General features: G+C 33.6%; 1 pseudogene across 1 annotated transcript in view; it reads right to left on the bottom strand.

Moving 5' to 3' along the window:
* The window catches only part of ADAM5 (ADAM metallopeptidase domain 5 (pseudogene)), a 102,747-nt pseudogene that overhangs the window by 33,341 nt on the left and 48,439 nt on the right, over nucleotides 1-20,967 (bottom strand). The window contains exons 9-11 of the transcript NR_001448.2: nucleotides 8,161-8,359; nucleotides 3,159-3,249; nucleotides 2,303-2,534 (exon numbers count right to left, since the gene is read on the bottom strand). The product of NR_001448.2 is annotated as an ADAM metallopeptidase domain 5 (pseudogene) (transcript). The remainder of the gene's footprint in view (nucleotides 1-2,302; nucleotides 2,535-3,158; nucleotides 3,250-8,160; nucleotides 8,360-20,967) is intronic.

Genomic DNA, 20,967 nt, shown 5'->3' with positions numbered 1-20,967 from the left:
CGATGTAATGACCACATTAATAGAATGAAGGAGAAAAACAAAATGATCATCTTAATTGATAAAGAAAAGGCATTTAACAAAATTCAACACCTTTCATGACACAAACATTCAAAGTACACTCAGTCATGAGGTAGAAGGAAACTACCTCAACATGATAAAAATCCATATATAAAAATCCCACAACTGACATTATACTTAATGATAAGACTTCAAAGCTTCTCCGCTAAGATCAGGAACAGGGCAAGGATACTTCCTTTCACCACTTCTCTTCAACATTGTACTGGAAGTTCTAGCCAGAGATGTTAGCCAAGAAAAAGAAATAAAAGGCATCCAAATTGGAAAGGAACAATTAAAACTTTTCTGCTTCCAGAGGACATAATTTTATAAGTAGAAAACTCTAAGGATTACCCCAAACAGTTAGAATTAACAATGTATTCAGCAAAGTGGCAAAATACAAAATCAACATATAAAAACTGGTTTCATTTCTATACAGTAACAATGAACACTCTGAAAGGGATATTATGAACACATTTCCATTTATGATAGCATCAAAAAGTACTTAAAGTACTTAAGAATTAATTTAACAAAGCAGTTTAGGATGTCCATACTATTCAAAGTGATCTACAGATTCAATACAATTACTATAAAAATCCCAATGATTTTTTTGCAGAAATGGAAAAATTTATACTAAAATTCATATAGAATCTCAAAGAACCCCAAAAACAATCTTGAAAAAGAACAAAGCTAAAAGAGTCACATTTCCCAATTTCAAAACTTACTAGGAAGCTACAGGAAAGAAAACAGTGTGGTACTGGCATAAAGACTAATATATTACCAATGGAATAGCATAAATAGCCCATAAACAAATGCTTGCATATATGGTTAAGAGATACTACTGAATTTTTACAAGGGTGCTGAGACCATTCAATGGAGAGAGGACAGTCTTTTCAACAAATGGTGCTGGAGAAACTAGATGTCCACACACAAAAGAATAAAACTGAACCTTTACCTAACACCACATACCAAGATGAACTTGAAATGGATTCTATAGGTAAACATAAGAGCTTAAAACTATAATACTCTTAGAATAAAATATAGGGCAAAAGCTTCATAATATTGATTTGGCCAGTCATTTATTGGATATGACACCAAAAGTACATGCAACAAAAGAAAAAATAGACTAATTGGATTTCGTAGTTGTTTTTAAATTGTGCATTAAAAGACACTATCAACAGAGTAAAAAGGCAACTCAAAGAATGAAAGAAAATATTTTAAAATCATATCATAAGAGAGTAATATCCAAAATATATAGAGAATTCCTAAAACTCAACAACAAAAAAGATGATTTAAAAACGGGAATAGCATTTAAATAGACATTTCCCTAAAGAACATATACAAATGGTCAATAAGCACATGAAAAGATGCTCAAAATCACAGATCATTAGGGAAATGCAAATCAAAATTACAGTGAGATACCACTTCACACCCATTAGGATGGCTACTATCGAAAAAAAAAAAAACGGAAAGTAAGTGTTGGTGAGGATGTGGAGAAACTGGAATCATTATGCATGGCTAGTAGAAATGTAAAATGGTATAGCCACCATGGAAGACAGTGGAGCAGTTCCTCAAAAATTTAAAAATAGAACTACCATGTGATCCAGCAATTCTACTTCCAGGTATATACCCCCAGAAATTGAAAGCACAGTTTTGAAGACATATTTATACTGCCATGATTATAGTGGCATTGTTTATAATAGCTAAAACATGGAATGATTCCAAATGTTCATCAACAGATGAATAGATAAACAAAATGCAGAACGTACATACAACAGAATAGTAGTCAGCTTTAAAAATGAAGGAAATTCTGACATACTACAGTATAGCTGAAACTTGAGGGCCTTATGCTAAGTGAAATAAGCCAGTCAGAAAGAAAAATACTATATTATTCCTCTTATGTGAGATACCTATAATAGTCAAATTTATAGAGTCAGAAAGTAGAATGGTGGTTTTTCAGGGGATCAGAGGAGGTAGGAATGGGGAGTTATTGTTTAATGAAATGAGTTTCAGTTTTACAAAATGAAAAGATTTATGAAGATAGAGGGTGGTGATGGTTTTACAGCATTATGAATGTATATAATACCACTGAATTGTACACTTAAAAAGGTTAAAATGGCAATTTTTATATTACGTGCATTTTACCACAAGAAAAAATGGAAGAAAATGCATTGGTTAGTACATTGTCAAAATGAGTATAACCAGAAAAATCATTTTAAAACACTTTAATTTGTGTAGTTCTAATTACCATATCAGGACCACACATGGAACCATCTTGTACAAATGTTTCATCTCTGTCTTCAGCTGAATAATATGATGTGATTGAAATAGGTGAATTTACTGGAGGTGGCGTCCTCCTGGGTAGGTATGTAGACACACATGTTTGGTCTCGTACATGTGCATAAATCACAGATAAATTTGGACGTGATATTAAGTCTCTGTGTTCCCATGTACAGACTAATTTTCCACATAGAATATGTCTAGAAGCACAAGGAAGAAAAAAATTACCTTATTGTTTATTGAGATAACATAGGTTGCTGATACAGTGAAATTTTTAAAAAGTGATTTACTAATTTAAATCCAAATTTCAACTATTTTCTCTCAGTACATATTTTTTTGCACAATGACTTATGTTATGATTCTTTTTTGTTTCATGAGGCAATCTGGCAAGTGAAAAACTAATGGTTTTTACACTATGACAGCTGTGATCTGTTCCACAATAGCTGCTGAAATTTGAGAAAATGATCTCTGGTCTTCAGTTTTTTCAATAGTAAATGGGATAAGTAATTCTTATACACATTTGATGTACATAAATTGAATAATATAACCTATATTATAAATATATAATATATATAAGCTGCATAACAATGTCTAGCTCATCACAACAATAAACAGAGGACATTTTTATGGTCATTGTTGTTTTAACATTATAGGCGCTGAACAAATGTTCTTGTAGGCAGTGGATAATATTGTCCAGCTCAGATGATGTAATAAAGAAAACCTGACCCCCAACATTCGATTTTACTGCATATAATATATTTCCTAGGATTTTAACAATCTCTAACCTACATTCCAAACAGTTTTATAATTTTCTAAATACATACTGAAAAAGACAGTGTGCAGTGCCACAGTTTCCAAAATTGTCTCCTCTGGTATTAATTTCATCATAACAGAAAACCGGAGCACCTCTTGAACCTATGAACAACAACAAAAACTTAAGTAAATTACAATACAGAATTTAAGTTATATTAAAGAAATGAAAGACTCAATCTGGAAATTACAATGTGATCCATAAGAAAGTTTATAATTACCCAGGACTAAAAAGTTTCTGGGGGCAGAGCTAGGATTAAAAAACAAACTCCTTTTTATAAGCCTAGAAGACTTTCTTCTGCAGAAACAGAAAACAAACAACAACATTATTAGAATGCTTCTGTATTGTTAGACAAATAAGCAACTGTCGCCCTCTCTATTTCCTATAAATTATTTACTTCCTGCCTTACTTCCCTACCCGTTGTGAAAATGCTGTTTACTCTTATTCTAAATGAAACAGTAGAAAAATAGTATCTTTAGTGCAATAATGATGACAAACACAAAGAACACTTCATTTAACTCTCCTTGCTCCACACTAGAGTCATAATCTATTATTAGATTATTAGATCTTAATAATTATTAGATCCTAATAATCACTAAATAAAAATTGTTGAATTTTAAAATTAGAATATCAATGTTCATCTACTTCAGTCCTTTATATATTTAGTTATGTCTAATTTTAAAATTCTGAAAAATTCAAACATCTATAATAACTGTCCTATTACTTTGACTTAGTAGTTTAGACGTAGTTTACGTTGATCATGTTAGTCATATGTAATCAAAATAGAGATCATTTGTTGTTACCACTATTAATTGACAAGAGAGCTATCTTCAATAATTTCACAGACTTTCATACTTGGAGAACATGATCTGTAAATTTCACTCAGTTAAGGAGCACAATCCATACATGTACAAGGTGCTACAGAACAATAATACTTCGACAATAATACATTAAGGCTTTTCTGAGTATCCACCTTACTTTTCTCATGGTTTAAATCAGCATCTCAAAATATAAAGTTTCCTTCCAGATCTACCTTTGCCCAAAGTAGGCGATCTCCTATCTGTACTTATTTGGAGTTTTCAAGCTATCTCTATATATTTATCTATTCCATTGGCTAAAAGGAAGTATAAAATTTTTAAGGAAAAGCTTCCCTATCCTATTTTATCACCTAGCCATAATTTGTCAGCCAAAGGAAGAACTTTGTCTGAAATAGTCAAAAGATTGTTGACTATTCATAATTATCCAAAAGAAACTTCTGAAAGACATTTATAAATTTAAGGATGTCCAGGATTAAATGGCTAAATATACAATTGGTTCCTAATTTTATGGAATACTAAGTTCCATACATGATTTTACTTTTTCAAACATTTCAGAATATCTTTCAGTGAACTGAGAGGTAAAAGATGCCTTCAGGACCCCAAAGCAGCCTTCACATCTTTACTGTGTTTTCCAGATTATCATAAATGTTAGTGTCTATGTGTTCATTAAAGGTCAAGTCACATTATAGGAATATTTACCTAACTGCCCAGTGCTCATCAAAGCTCCATCACCTGTTTGTAGTCTGTTTCTTAAATCCAGAGCAATTGTAGCTTTAGATAAATTAGTTGAAGCATCCTCAGACCTTGTATAAGGATTACATTTAAATTTTATAGTGCTATATACTAAATAAGCCTGAATATAGATGCTGAAAACCCTGAACATATTTTATTAGTTGATTAAATAATCATGAAATATTGTTTATTTCTCCTTCTCACACAACTATTCAATAATCCAGCAAATCTTTTACACGTCCCTGGTAAGTATGCTTCTATGGTTTGGAAAATATCTACGCCCAGAGCCAACCTTTGTGCCACTTTCATAAGAATATTGATCCAATATGGTTTTTGATAAATCATATCTTAAAAATTGAAAAAGAAACATTACCAGGTTAGTTTTGCAAAGACTGTTCATACTTTAGTGTGGAATATAATCCTTTTTCAGAGTCTTAATCAGCTTAAGTAGTCAAACTTCTGGCCCTCTCTAGAGAAGGAGGTCTCAACACAGCACAGCAGATATAATTCTTTGTTGTAGAGGCTATCCTGTGTATTACAAAGCATTTAGCAGCACCCCTGACCTGTACTCACTAGAAGCCAAGATTCACCCCATCCAAGCTGGGACAACCAAAAGTCTCTCCAGGCATCCTGTCTAGTGGGCAGAGGCCAAGGACGCTGCCAAATATCCTACAATGCACAGGAGAAGCATTCCCTGCCCCCACTTCTCACAATAAAGTATGAGCTGGCCTACATTATCACTAGTGCTGAGGTTGAGAAACCCTTGTATAACGGTTGGATTAGCACTTAACATTTGTCTAGATGATATACAACTCAACTTGGTCATAAAGCCCTCTAATAATATATGGAACTTTACAACTCATGAGACTTTCAGCCTTATTAGGGCAAACATAACCACAAACCAAATAACACCAAAGGTAATAACATCATTTTATATTATACCTACAATAGGAAGTTTCTGCATTTGCAGAGATAACACTGAAGAGGAGCATGCTGTAGGGGCCAGACATTTCCAAAAACAAAATTTAGTAAAGAGCTTAGAAAAAGGTGGTAACCATTTGAGGTGTTTTTCCTTCACTGGTTTGATTTTTTTGAAAAAAAAAAAGCTTAATACTTAACCTCGTTCTTTTACCATAGATCTACAGATTTCCCTATTTTAAATGCCATTGCTTGATAAATAAGCTATGTCTTTCAATGTGACAACTTCATTAGTATATTTTGTCCAGAAATCAACAATTTGGGGGGGCATGATGATTTGTATTAGGCCTGTGGTATAAGAATTCTTATTGTCTGTTTCCTACAAATAGCATATAGGTTTTACCAAGCAAAACTAATGCCTACTTCAGAATTATATCAAACCCTGCTCAAGGATCATTTGAGCCAACCATGACAGGTCATAGATGACCTACTCAAATAATTGGATATTTGTAGGGAACACACATCATAATCTAATAATAATAATAATACCTTATATTTACTGAGTACAGTCATCAGTTGCTTAATGATGAGGATATGTTCTGAGCAATGTATCCATTGTTGTGTGAACATCATACAGTGTAGTTAAACAAACCTAGATGGTATAGCCTGCTACACACCTAGGCTATATGGTGTAGCCTATTGCTCCTAGGCTGCAAACCCGTATAGCATGTTATTGTACAAAGAACTGGATTTAATATGCGTTGAAATACAGCTACCATTGAGGGTAAATTTTCATCAGGCTTCTATTGCCCTCAGGGGGCTAGCAAAGTGAGATTGTTTTTCAAAAATAAGTACAAAAACTGGTAGTCAAGTCCAGAATTATCACGTCCTAGATGCATGAACACATGGTCACTAGAAGTGGACATACATTATTTTGAAATCAAGGTGCTTTAGAAGTCATGCTTGCCTTCCAAAAAAAAAAAACTGTACTCTTTGGGGCAAATACCCGTGTACTCCCACAGTTCTCACAAAGGACTTTAAAATCTCTTAAAATCACTGATAATACTAAATACACAGTGAATGGCATAACCCGGAAGACACCTGATTGGCAATCCACTATGTGGCTCTAATTTTATCTGCCTAGCATTGAGTCCTGGCTTTACTTAAAGAAACATTAGATCATAGATCTGAAGTACTGTCCCATTCCTCCTAATTTTACTGGTCATTCGTTTGAATGATTTTGTTATTGTTTTTGTTTTCCAAGACGGTGTCTTGCTCTGTCGCCCAGGCTGGAGTGCAGTGGCGTGATCTCAGCTCACTGCAACCTCGGCCTCCTGGATTCAAGCGATTATCCCGCCTCATCCCAAGCACACCCGGCTAATTTTTGTATTTTTAGTAGAGACAGGGCTTCACCATGTTGGCCAGGCTGGTCTTGAACTCCTGACCTTGTGATCCGCCCGCCTTGGCCTCCCAAAGTGCTGGGATTACAGGCATGAGCTACTGGCCCCAGCTCTTTGTTTGTATGTTAACAATGTTTTAAAGTCTATAGCTATTGTCTTGCCATATGGTACAAATAATGATTCTGTTAGAAAAGCAGGACAAAATTATGAAAATCATCAAAACCCCCATCTCACCTTCTCCTTAAATTCCTGGCAGTCACATTGCTGTAGACAATATTTAGAGATCTATGACCTGGTTAGAGAAGACCTCAAGGGAGGGCTAAGAATGAAAAATTTCACTCTCTCGGAGAACATGCACTGCATACGTTCAGGAATTTGTATCTTCCAATCAAGCAAATGACATTTATAGGAAATTATCAAAATGGACTAGATTGCTAATGAACTGAAGCCCTCACTTTTCAGCAAGCGCTTAGAAACCCAACTAATCAGTGATTAGCCCTGCTTTCCTCTGATTAAGAAACCTTGTTTCCTTTAAACTAAACCCCCACCACAAATTCTATATAATATTTTGAAAAACTGCATTTTCACTTGAGGTTTATTTTCTGTTCCTACAGAAATTCCATATAAATTCAGAGAGGTTTTTTGTTGTTGTATTTCACAATCATGAAAATTTTGTTTTTGCGCCAGGCGCAGTGGCTCGTGCCTGTAATCCCAGCACTTTGGGAGCACGATGTGGGCAGATCACTTGAAGCTAGGAGTTTGAGACAAGCCTGGCCAACATGGTGAAACACTGTCTCTACTAAAAACACAAACTTAACCACCCATGACAGTGTGCTCCTGTTATCCCAGCTACTCCGTAGGCTGCGGCAGGAGGATCGCTTGAACCCAGGAGGATCGCTTGGACCAAAGAGGCGGAGGTTACAGTGAGCTGAGATCAGGCCACTGCACTCCAGCCTGGGCGACAGAGAGAAACTCCGTCTCAAAAAAGAAAAAGAAAAGATAATTTTGTTTTTTCTTTAACACTAATATACATTATGCAAGAATTCAGTCATTAACACATACATTTACATTTTTGTTCCATAAAATTCAATAACAGAGTTTGGAATAATCAGAATTTAGGGACTAAGAAGAAAATTATGATTATTACCTCTTCCAATTAAATCATCACATTGTTTGTCAAAAGTCCGACACTTTCCTTGAAAACAGAAGGCTCCACCTGAATCACAATATTCTCCATCACGTACATAAGTGTCAGGCAAACAGTATGGAAGGTCCCCATTGCAATATTCAGTGAAATCGCATTCTTTACCAACTGATTTCCTACAAATCATATTAGCCGGTTTGAACTAGGAGGAAAGAGAAACATAAAACTTTAAATATCAATGCTATTTAAGTTTTATTTCTGTGTAGGCTCTATATGCTGGTCCATTTTTTTCCCTAAGTTTCTAATAGCAATTAGAAAATTAAATCTTCTTGTTAACTATTTAAGCATCACACAGGATTCTTAAAATATCTCCTTTTAAAGCCTGCAACATTTTTAAAATGTTTATGATGAGGATTTATCATTTTATAAATGGCTGCTGATTTCTTCTTTAAGATTAATATGGAGAAACCAGAAACTGCCCAACTGAGCAGAGCCAAAATGGATTACAAGTAATTTTTATATCCCTAGCTCCACTTTGCCTTTCTTTCCTTTATGGATGTCTGCTTATCTTTGAGTTTCTAGCTTCTCTTATAAGCATTACCCATTTTTTTATGCACAAGAAATTTAATCACACAAATGATGAAGATATTCTAAGAACACGCAGGAGAAAGTTTATTTCATATTTATTTCAAATTTCATGTTGCAAAAAACTTAAAAATAACTTCCATAATTACATATTTCTGATCTGCTTCTGGGCTTCCCTTTCTACAAATTTACTTTTGCTAAGAAGCATCTAATCATCATCTCTGAAAACTCTTCTTTCTTCAACACATGCCCCAGTCTCTTATGGCTATTGTCATTATCCTATGCAAAGTAAATAAAAATTTTCCTAGCTTTCAAAGGTCCTGAAGGCCCAGCTTATATAACATTTATCTTCTCAAAATTGTTTTTCGCCAACTTTTTCTTAAGTTTTCAAGTATTTGCTATCTGTAAAAAGTCTCACACAAATTTTCCAGGTGATGCATGAGAAGACAAATACAATATCTACTGTCACTCAAGCTTACAGAGTCAACATTTAATTCAAAACTAATTGTTCAAAGTATTTATAGAGGAAAATTTGCATATGTATAATGAGAAAGTATCAACACTTGTTTCTTCAGAATTTGTTTCCTTTTACGAACTGGTATAAAAGGCAATCGTACTTTGATTCTAACTTTTTTTTTTTTTTTTTTTTGAGACGGAGTCTTGCTCTGTCACCCAGGCTGGAGTGCAGTGGCGAGATCTCGGCTCACTGCAAGCTCCGCCTCCCGGGTTCATGCCATTCTCCTGCCTCAGCCTCCCGAGTAGCTGGGACTACAGGCGCACACCACCACGCCTGGCTAATTTTTGTTGTATTTTTTAGTAGAGACAGGGTTTCACCGTGTTAGCCAGGATGGTCTCGATCTCCTGACCTCATGATCCGCGCGCCTCGGCCTCCCAAAGTACTGGGATTACAGGCATGAGCCACTGCCCCCAGCCTACTCTAACATTTTTAAAAATACCTGTGAACACTCACTTCCTCAAGTACTCTTTGAATCAAGCTTTATCATCCTACTGGCTCCTTCATTGAGAGGCAGAGAAAATTCTTTTAAAAATATTTTTACTTTGTAGGTATATGAGAGTCGTGACTTTAGAATATTGAAAAACTATATTTTCACAATCATTGAGGTAAAATTAAATAAATTGAATTGTGTTGCTCAAGAAGTGCACCTCATGGGCTCATCTTTTTTTGTTCTGGATCTCACCTTTATTATTATTAATTATTTCAATCGTTTGGGAGAACAGGTGGGGTTTGGCTACATGGATAAGTTCGTTAGGTGTGATTTCTGAAATTTTGTTGCACCCATGACCCAAGCAGTGTACACTGCACCCAGTGTGTAGTCTTTTATCCCTCACCCCACTCCCATACCTTCCCACGCATCTCCAGAGTCCATTATATTACTCTTATGCCTTTGTATCCTTATAGCTTAGCTCCCACTTATAAGTGAGAACATACGATGTTTGGTTTTCCATTCTTGAGTTACTTCACTTAGAATAACAGTCTCCAATTCCATCCAGGTTACTGCAAATGCCATTATTTCATTCCTTTTTATGGCAGAGTAGTATTCCATTGTATATGTGTATGTGTATATATGTATGTGTATATATATATGTGTATATATACGTGTATATATGTGTGTGTATATATGTGTATATATAGTGTATATATATGAGTATATGTATATATGTGTATATGTGTATATGTATATATGTGTATATATTTACACATATATACACTATATATGTATATGTGTGTATATATACACATATATACACTATATATACACATATACACATATATATGCATATATATACATACATATATACATATATACATACATATATACACATACATGTATACACATATATACACATACATATATATACACATATATATACATATATACACACAAATATATATACACATACATATATACCACAAATTCTTTATCCACTTGTTGGTTCTTTGTCCACTTGTTGGTTGATAGTCATTTAGACTGGTTCCATATTTTTGCAATTGTGAATTCTGCTGCTATAAACATGCATAAGCAAGCGTCTTTTTCATATAATGATTTATTTTCCTCTGGGTAGATGCCCCCAGTGGGATTGCTGGATCAAATGGCGGATCTACTTTTGGTTATTTAAGGAATGTCCATAGTCCTTTCCACAGTGGTTGTACTAGTTCACATTCCCACCAGCAGTGTAAAAGTTTTCCCTTTTCACCACATCCACACCAACATATTTTTTTTAAAAAAGTTTTAATTATGGCCATTCTTGCAGGAGTAAGGTGGTATCACATTGTGGCTTTGATTCTCAATTCCCTGATAATTAGTGATGTTGAGCATTTTTTCATATGTTTGTTGGTCATTTGTATATCTTCTTTTGAGAATTGTCTATTCATGCCCTTAGCCCACTTTTTGATAGGATTATTTGTTGCTGTTGTTTTTCTTGCTGATTTGTTTGCATTCCTTGTAGATTCTGGATATTGGTCCTTTGTCTGATGCACAGTTTGTGAAGATTTTCTTCTACCCTGTGTGTTGCCTGTTTACTCTGCTGATCATTTCTTTTGCTGTGCAGAAGCTTTTTAATTAAGTCCCATCTATTTATCTTTGTTTTAGTTGCATTTGATTTTCGGTCCTCAGTCATGAAGTCTTTGCCTAGGCCAATGTCTAGAAGAGTTTTTACCATGTTATCTCCTAGAATTTTATCGTTCAGATGATGTTAAATTTAAGTCTTTAATTCATCTTGATTGATTTTTGTACAAGGTGAGTGATGAGGATCCAGTTTCATTCTTCCACATGTGGCTTGCCAATTATCCCAGCACCATTTGTTGAATAGGGTGTCCTTTCCACACTTTATGTTTTTGTTTGCTTTGTTGAAGTTCAGTTGGCTGTAAGTATTTGGCCTTATTTCTGCATCCTCTATTCTGTTCTATTGGTCTACTTGCCTGTTTTTATATCAGTATCATGCTGTTCTGGTAACTATAGCTTTGTGGTATAGTGTGAAGTCTGGTAATGTGGTACTTGCAGATTTGTTCTTTTTGCTTAGTCTTGCTTTGGCTATGTGGGCTCTTTTTGTGTTCCCTATACATTTTAGGATTGTTTTTCTAGTTCTGTGAAGAACGATGATGGTATTTTGATGAAAATTGCATTGAAATTACAGATTGTTTTTTGCCATTGGTCATTTTCATATTATTGATTCTACCCATCCATGAGCATGGGATGTTTCCATTTGTTTGTGTCATCTATGATTTCTTTCACCAGTGTTTTGTAGTTTTCCTTGTAGAGATCTTTCACCTCTTTGGTTAGGTATATTCTTAAGGGTTTCTTTTTGCAGCTGTTGTGAAGGGGGTTGAGTTCTCAATTTGATTCTCAGCTTGGTCGCTGTTGGTGGATAGCAGTGCTACTGGTTTGTGCACACTGATTTTGTATCCAGAAACTTATTGAATTCATTCATCAGATCCGGGAGCTTTTTTAATAAGTCTCTAGGGTTTTCTAGGTATATGATCATATCATCGGTGAACAGCCACGGTTTGACTTCCTCATTATCAATTTGGATCCCCTTTATTTTTTTCTCGTCTGATTGCTCTGGCTAGGACTTTCAGTACTATGTTTAATAGAAGTGGTGAAAGTGAGCATCCTTATCTTGTTCCAGTTCTCAGGGGGGAACGCTTTCAACTTTTTCCCATTTAGGTATGTCCCTTCTATGCCAATTTTGCTGAAGGTCTTAATCATAAAAGAATGCTGGATTTTGTCAAATGCTTTTATGCATCTATTGAGGATCATATGATTTTTGTTTTCACTTCTGTTTATGTAGTGTATCACATTTGTTGACTTCTGTATGTTAAACCATCCCTGCATCCCTTGTTTAAAACTCACTTGATCATGGTAGATTATCTTTTTAATATGCTGTTGAATTCATTTATCTAGTATTGAGTTGAGGATTTTTGCTTCTATGTTCATCAGTGATATTGGTCTGTAGTTTTCTTTTTATGTTATGTCCTTTCCTGGTTTTGGTATTAGGGTAATACTGGCTTAATAGAATGATTTAGGGAAGATTCCCTCTTTATCTTTTGGAATAGTTTCAGTAGGATTGGCACCAATTCTTTCAATGTCTGAAAGAATTCAGTTGTGAATCCATGTGGTCCTGAACTTTTTTTTTGTTGGCATTTTTTTTATTACTGTTTCAATCTTGCTACCCATTATCGATCTGTTCAGAGCTTCTATTTCTTTCTGGTTTAATCTAGGAGGATTGTATATTTCCAGGAATTTATCTGTCTCCTCTAGGTTTTCTAGTTTGTGCACATAAAGGTGTTTATAGTAGCCTTGAATTATCTTTTGTATGTCTGTAACATCAGTTGTAATGTCTCCTATTTTGTTTCTAATTGAGGTTATTTGGATCCTCTCTCTTCTCTTCTTGGTTAATCTCACTAACGGTCTATCATATTTGTTTATCTTTTCAAAGAACCAACTTTTTGTTTCATTTATTTTTTGTATTTTTTTATTTCAATTTCATTTAGTTCTGCTCTGATCTTTGTTATTTCTCTTTTTCTGCTGGGGTTGGATTTGGTTTATTCTTGTTTTCTGAGTTTTTTGAGGTGTGACCTTAGATTGCCTATTTGTACTCTTTCAGACTTTTTGATGTAGCCATTTAATGCTGTGAACTTTCCTCTCAGCACTGCTTTTGCTGTATCCCAGAGGTTTTGATAGGTTGTGTACTATTACCATTCAGTTCAAAGAATTTTTAAATTTCCATCTTGATTTCATTGGTGACCCAATGATCATTCAGGAGCAGGTTATTCAACTTGATATATTTGCATGGTTTTGAGGGTTCCTTTTGAAGTTGATTTCCAATTGTATTGCACTGTGGTCTGAGAGAGCACTTGATAATGATTTCGATTTTCTTATCTTTATTGAGACTTGTTTTGTGGTCTATCATATGGTCTATCTTGGAGTATGTTCCGTGTGCTGATGAACAGAATGTACATTCTGCAGTCGTTGGGTAGAATGTTCTATAAATATGTGTTAAGTCCATTTGTTCTAGGGTATACTTTAAGTCCATTGTTTCTTTGTTGACTTTCTGTCTTGGACCTTTCTAGTGCTCTCAGTGGAGCATTGAAGACCCCCACTATCATTGTGTTGCCATCAACTTCATTTCTGAGGTCTAGTAGTAATTGTGTGTGTATAATATATATAATATATAAAGTATGATATATATCAATATTAATAGATTTTAAAGAAGAGATATACTGTAATACAATAATCATAATGGACTTCAATATTCCACTTTCAACAACAGACAGATAATCCAGACAGAAAATTAATAAGAAAACATCAGACTCAAACTACACTTTAGACCAAATGGACCTACTATACACATAAAAAACATTCTATCAAACAGCAACAGAATATATATTTTTCTCAAGAACACATGAAATATGCTCCAGGATAGATCATATGTCAGGCAGCAAAGTAAGTCTTAGAAAATTTAAAATAATTAAAATAGTATCAAGTATCTTTCTCACCACATTGATATAACAAGAAGTCAATAACAGGACTTGGAATTTGGAAATTTTACAAGTATATGAAAATTAAGCAACATACTGCTGAACAATCAATGGATCAAAGAGGCACTTAAAATGAAAATTTAAAAATATTGTGAAATATCTTGATACAAACAATAATAGTCACACAATATACTAAAACTTATCAGATGCAGCAAAAATCATTCCAGTGGGGAAGTTTATAGCAATAAATATCTACATCAAAAAAGAAGAAAGATATCAAATAATCAACCTAATGTAATTACACCTCAAGGGACTAGAAAAAGCAAAATCCAAAGTTAGTAGAAAAAAGGAAATAAAGATAGGAACAGAAATAAATGAAATAGAGGCTAGAAAAAAGTAATGAAACTAAGAAATATTGATTAATTGTCATAGACTTTGTGAAGTTACATATTAACTTTTAGGTTTTTGTCTGATAGAATAGGAAATAATTCCTGTCATTTAGAAAAGATAACCAAATAAGTTATTGTTTTTTTCCTGTGGATATTAACCAGTTTTGAACATAGTAATATTATGCTAACATTCTTTTGTTTCCAAATCCTATTTATCTAGTTTTGTTACTTACTCTTGAACAAGCCTATTATTCTTTCTAGTTCCCTCATTAATGAGTTGAATAAAACTCTGACACATTAATTGTATATTATGAGAGTAGCCCTTATAATTTTTTGAAAATTATGCTTTTTTCAGGGTCAATCTATTATTTTTTGCTTATTCATGTGTGTGCATGTGTGCGTGTGTGTGTGTCCAGAAATCTGTAGCAATCTCAAATAAAATGTATTATAAAAAAGAATAGCTTACTGAATTAGCATATTTCAAAAAAACAATTTTCAAATACATTGCACCCCAAATATATATCTGTTAAATAATTAGAACAAACACTGTTTTTAAAGTTAGGAAATTGTGAGCCTATAATGTGACTCGACAAGATGGGTAATGGAATTTTTTATTTTTTAAAGGCTTATTACAGATTTATTTATAATTGCCAAAATTGGGAAGTAAATTAAATGTCTTTCAATAGATAAATACATAAGTAAACTCTGGTACATTCATATAATTGAATATTATCCAGCTATAAAAAGCAATTAGCTACCAAGCCATGAACTATAGCTATAGAACATAGATGAACTATAAATATATGTTGGTAATGGAAAAAAGCCAATCTGAAAAGGCTACATGCGTATATTCTTACAACTATATGACATTATGAGAGACAAAAGTATAGACACAAATTTAAATCCAAACATTCTGATTTCAGTTTTGTTCTGTTATGCCACATTGTTTCTCACAATGTGATATTATTTTCAATAACACCTACATATTCTTATTTACTTTTTCTTTTTAGAGATATCATCTGCTCCACTGACATACTGGATGACATTTCCATCATTCTACAATTCTCACTGTAAAACCTTCAAGGACACCATTTTAATAAATATTTCCCATGGCCTACAGATATGCTGAAATCATTTTTTTCACTTATTATCAACTAACACAACTCTTGAGTCCACAATCACTAAATTCAGGAGAAACATGTTTCTTGTCCACTAGGTGGGAGTTTATCTTCATCAGGGTGACCTTTTCTGTTTTTAACTTTATTGAGGTTTAATTTATAACGTACATACCATAAAATTCACCTATGTTAAGTGTACACTTTAGTGATATTTTAAGAAAATTTACATAGTTGTGCAACCAGCACCACAACCCAAGTTTAGGACATTTCTATTAGCATAGGATAAGATCCCAGGTATCCATTTATAGTTAATCCCCATGTCTGTGGCTGGCCCCAGGTAACCACTAATCTACTTACTGTCTCTATAAATTTGCATTTTGGGACCTCTTCTACAAATAAAATGATAAAATGGGTGGGGTTTTGTATTTAGCTTCTCTTGCACAGTAGTGTTTTTGAGATTGTAGTATGTATGAGTATTCTGTCAACGTTTATTGCTCTCTAGTATTCCATTGTATGGATATATCATAGTTTTTGTCAATTAGTTTATAGATATTTGAGTTGTTTTCAGATTTTGGTCGTTGAATAATGTTGCTATAGACATCCATATGCGAATTTTTGTAAATACGTGTTTTCATTTATCTTGAGTAGACCTAGGAGTAGAATCCTTCGTTCAATTGGTAAACTTATGTTAAACTGCTTAACAGACTGTCAAACTGTTTCCCAAAGTAGCAACACCATTTTTTGGTCCTACTAGCAGTCTATGAGTTCCTGTTTCTCTATGTTTTCACCAGTATTTGTTATTTTCTGTCATTTGATTACAGCCATTCTAGTGGGTGTCTTGTAGTATCTTGTTTGAATATACACATTGCTAATGACTAACAATGTCTTTACTATTTTTCATGTATTTATTATTCTATGTAATTATTTTGTATATATTTCTATATATTTTGTATATCATTGTATATAACTTTGTATATATTTGCCTATCTTCTTTGAACAGGTATTTTACCTGTTCAAATATTTCATACATTTGTAATTGGATTGTTTCCCTTCAATTATTGAGTTGTTAGCATTATTAATAGATTCTGTATACAAGTACTATATCAGAAACACAGTTTGTAAATATTTTCTTCCCCTCTGTGACTTGTCTTTTTATTGTCTTAATAGTGTTTTCTGAGGCACGAAGGTTTTTAATTTTGATAAAGTCCAGTTTACCAACTATTTCTTTTATGAATTATACTTGTGATGTTGTGTCTTGGAAGTTTCTGCCAAATCCAAGGTTATGAATAATTTTTCCTATGTTTTCTTCCAATAGATGTATAGTTTTAACTACTGCAGTTAGGTTGATTGTCTATTTTGAGTTAAATTTTGTGTATGGCATGATAAAAGGGTCCAAATTTACATTTTTGTATGTGGATATTGAATTGTCCCAATAGCCTTTGCTGAAAAGACTATTATTCCTCTATCAAATTGTCTTGACACATTTGTCAAAAATCAATGGACTATAAATATAAGAGTTTATTTCTGGACTCTCAATTCCATCCCATTTATCCATGTATTTAATGTTATGCCAGTACAATGTTAAGCTAGATTACTTTAGCTTTGTAGTAATTTTTGAAATATGAAATGGTGACTCCATCAATTTGTTCTTCAGGATTGTTTTAGCACTTCTGGGTGCCTTGCATTTCCAGAATTTTTAGGATTATGTCATCAATTTCTGCAAAGAAGCCTACTAGAATTTCGCCAAAGCTTGTCTTAAATCCATAGATCAATTTAGAGATGTACAGAAGAGTTAACATAGCAGACTTCAGACTGCTATACTTAGAAAGGTATATTCGAAAGCTGGCCTTTGGCTGACACCTCAGTTACCGTTCCCACACCATTGCCTAACTAATAAGTCACTGTGCCTGAACTGTTTAGACCTTGTTATTTATAGTGAACAACCAATTTCCATCTAAGAATTTGGAATTTGGGTAGATACTAGGCAAACGATGCCTATGTGACCAGCCTCTAATAAAAATCTTAGGGTCTGGGTTCCCGGCAGTCAAGATTTCACACATATTGTCATAATTCATTGCTGGAGGAATTAAGTCCATCATGGGTGACTCTACTAGGAAATGACTCTTGGAAGCCTGTGACTACTTTCCTTCATACTTGACCCATGAGCCTTTTTCCTTTGCTAATTTTGCTTTGTATCCTTTTTCTGTAATAAATTATAGTGATGAGTACATTCTATGCTCAATCACGTGAGTCTTCCTACTGATTTACTGAACCAAGGGGTAATACTGGGGATCCCTGACAGAAGGGAGAATCGCTGTCTTAACAATACCATTTTTCAACCCATTCACATGGAAGATCTCAGCATTTATTTAGGTTTTTGTATTTTTCTCAGAAATTTTTTGTTGTTTGCATGTATATTTTGTATTCTTAATATATGCCTAAGTATGTATTTTTATGCTATTGTGAATGAAATTCTATTCTTAATTTTATTTTTCTATTTTCCATTGCTAATATATAGAAGTGCAATTCATTTTTGCATAGCAATTGGGTATCCTGTGACTTTGCTGAATTCATTTATTTATTCAAACAGGTATTTTGGTAAATTTCCTAAGATTTTACATACACGGGGTGGTGTAATCTGCAAATAAAGACAGTTATACTTTTTGTCTTCCAAGTTAGATGCATTTTAATTTTTATTCCTACCTGATTTTACTCTCTTGGACCTCCAATACAATGTTTAGTAGAAGTACTGAGAGCTTGCATCCTCACTTTCATTCTGATTTTAGGGTGGAGAGCAGTGAGAATTTCATGGTTAGTATGATGTTAGCTGTAGGTTTTTCATAAATACTTTGCATCAGGTAGGGGAAGTTCCCTTCTATTTACAATTTGTTAATAATCTATAATGGGTGTTACATTTTGTTATATCCCTTTTCTGCATCATTTGAGATGATCTTGTATTTTCTTGTCCTTTATTATGTTAGTATGGTGTGTTACATTAACTATACCACTTTTGCATTACTGAGATAATCCTTTTTGGTCATGTTGGATACTTCCTTTTATGTTTCTTTATTCTGTTTGCCATTTTTAAAGGACTTTTTGCATCCATATTCGTGAGGGATATTGATCTATAGTTTTCTTTTCTTGTCTTTGTCTAGCGTTAGTATCAAGGTAATACTGTTCTCATAAAATAAATTTAGAAGGGTTCCTTCCTCTTCTATTTTATGCAAAAGATTGTGGAGTATTTTTGTATTATCCCTTCTTTAAATATTTGTTAGAATTCACCAGTCAGGCTATCTGGACTTACGTAGTGAATTATCAAACTGGCCAGAGCTTTACCAAATATCCTGTGTAATTGCTCTATCAGGAGATTTGTCTCTGGAAAGAGCACATGAAACATTTCTTCTCAAAACAATCTGGCATTAGAATTGAGCATCAAACCATGATGGAGCCCATTTCAATAGTCACATAAACTCTGTCTGGTAAACCATCCACCACTACACTATAGCAAATCTGCTGGTAAATTCAGAAGCTGATATTCACATGCAAATGAAATCATTTTTATCACCTTTAAAACAGGAACCAATTTAAAAATTGTTTGATTAGTCAACCACATTTTTTTTTTAGCTTAATATCTCCTTTTTTTTTTTCTTTCCAACTTTTTTTTACATTCAAGGGACACATATGCAGGTTTGCTACATGGGTAAATTATGTGTCACAGGGATTTGCTGCACAGATAATTTTGTCACCCAGGTAAGCTTATCTGCTTACCCGATAAGCAGTTTTTCGATCCTCATTCTCCTCACACCCTCCACTCTCATCTAAGCCCTGGTGTCTGCTGTTTCCTTCTTTGTGTCCATGTGTACTCCCACTTATAAGTGAGAACATGCAGTCAACAACATTTTAGAATGTGGTTCTAAATCATCTTACCTAATTATGATTTGAGTTGACAATTTTGATAGAATCCATACTTTGAAAATAACTGTTAGCTACGTACTTTTGTTTCTCCATCAGTAACACTGAGAAAAAAAAAATCATGGCTGAATAATTCTGAAGAGTCACATTGACTAGGACCAGTACACTATTTCTCTATTAGTCATTAAATTAGAGCAAAACAGGCCACTTTTCTTCCTTTATGTATACATCTTCCTTTCAGGTTGATGTAATCCCATTTGTATATTTTTGCTTTTGTTGTCTATGTTTTGAAGTCATGTCCAAAATAAGGATCTCTCTACCACTTCATTTATTCCCTGAAGCCTCTATGCCAATTATTTTCTTTGTCATTAAGGTTTTAGCTCAAATGTCACCCCTCAGAAAGACATTTCCTGTTTACTCTGGCTAAAATACCCTCTTCCCTCACTTTTTATTCTATCGTCCTATTTTATTTTATTTTTAAATCACTTATCACTGTCTGAAACTATCTTGTTTAGTGTTTGTTTGCTTATATGTTTATTCTGTTTACTATCTCCCACTAGATAGTGTGGAGTAAACTATTTCCTGAATTAGTGAATGAACAAATAACTTTAAGCTTTAAATGAACCTGTCTGCTTCTAATGCCAACATTTTATCTCATCCTATTTTGGCAAGGTTTGATCTGCACATTGTTACTCTACGTAATTTTAGGAATAATATGAAAAAGCTAAACAGAATGCTGGAAGCCACTGATTTTTTATATTGATTTTAAAAACTTACTATCTGTGTGTTCAGTGCTATCTATTTTTTTCTGTTTTTCTCTCTGCTATAATCCTTACATTTGGCTGTAATTTCTCATATTTATCTTCCATGTCAATAACTAGTTTGAGCCATAAGAATTCTGATATTCTCTAAGTTTGGCATTTATCTTAAGTTTAAATTGTGAATGTAGTTTATCTGTAATGATTCTTCACTTTATTCACCTTCAGTTTTATTTTGTTCTATTTTTACAACATTCTCTTAGTTCAAAGATGCCAAGCCTTGAAATTTTTTTTTTGAGAATGTTATTTTTTTTCTGAAATTGCTTATAGAGCCTATAATGACTTAATTTTAAAAGCATACACTCCCTCCAATCTTATGGATGTCTGTCATTTACCCTGTTTCAGAGTTTGTTTCATTTTCCCAGAGTATTTCAGTGAACTCTGCTGGGTGTGAAAAATTATTTGGGAATTTTTTAGTTGATAGGTAAAATTACATGTATTTATCATATACAACACAATATTTTAAAGTGAACTATATATATAGTTCT

The sequence above is a fragment of the Homo sapiens genome, chromosome 8 (genome assembly GCF_000001405.40).
Source record: "Homo sapiens chromosome 8, GRCh38.p14 Primary Assembly".
In the NCBI taxonomy this organism is placed as follows: Eukaryota; Metazoa; Chordata; class Mammalia; order Primates; family Hominidae; genus Homo; species Homo sapiens.
This window is presented reverse-complemented; position numbering and strand designations above follow the sequence as displayed.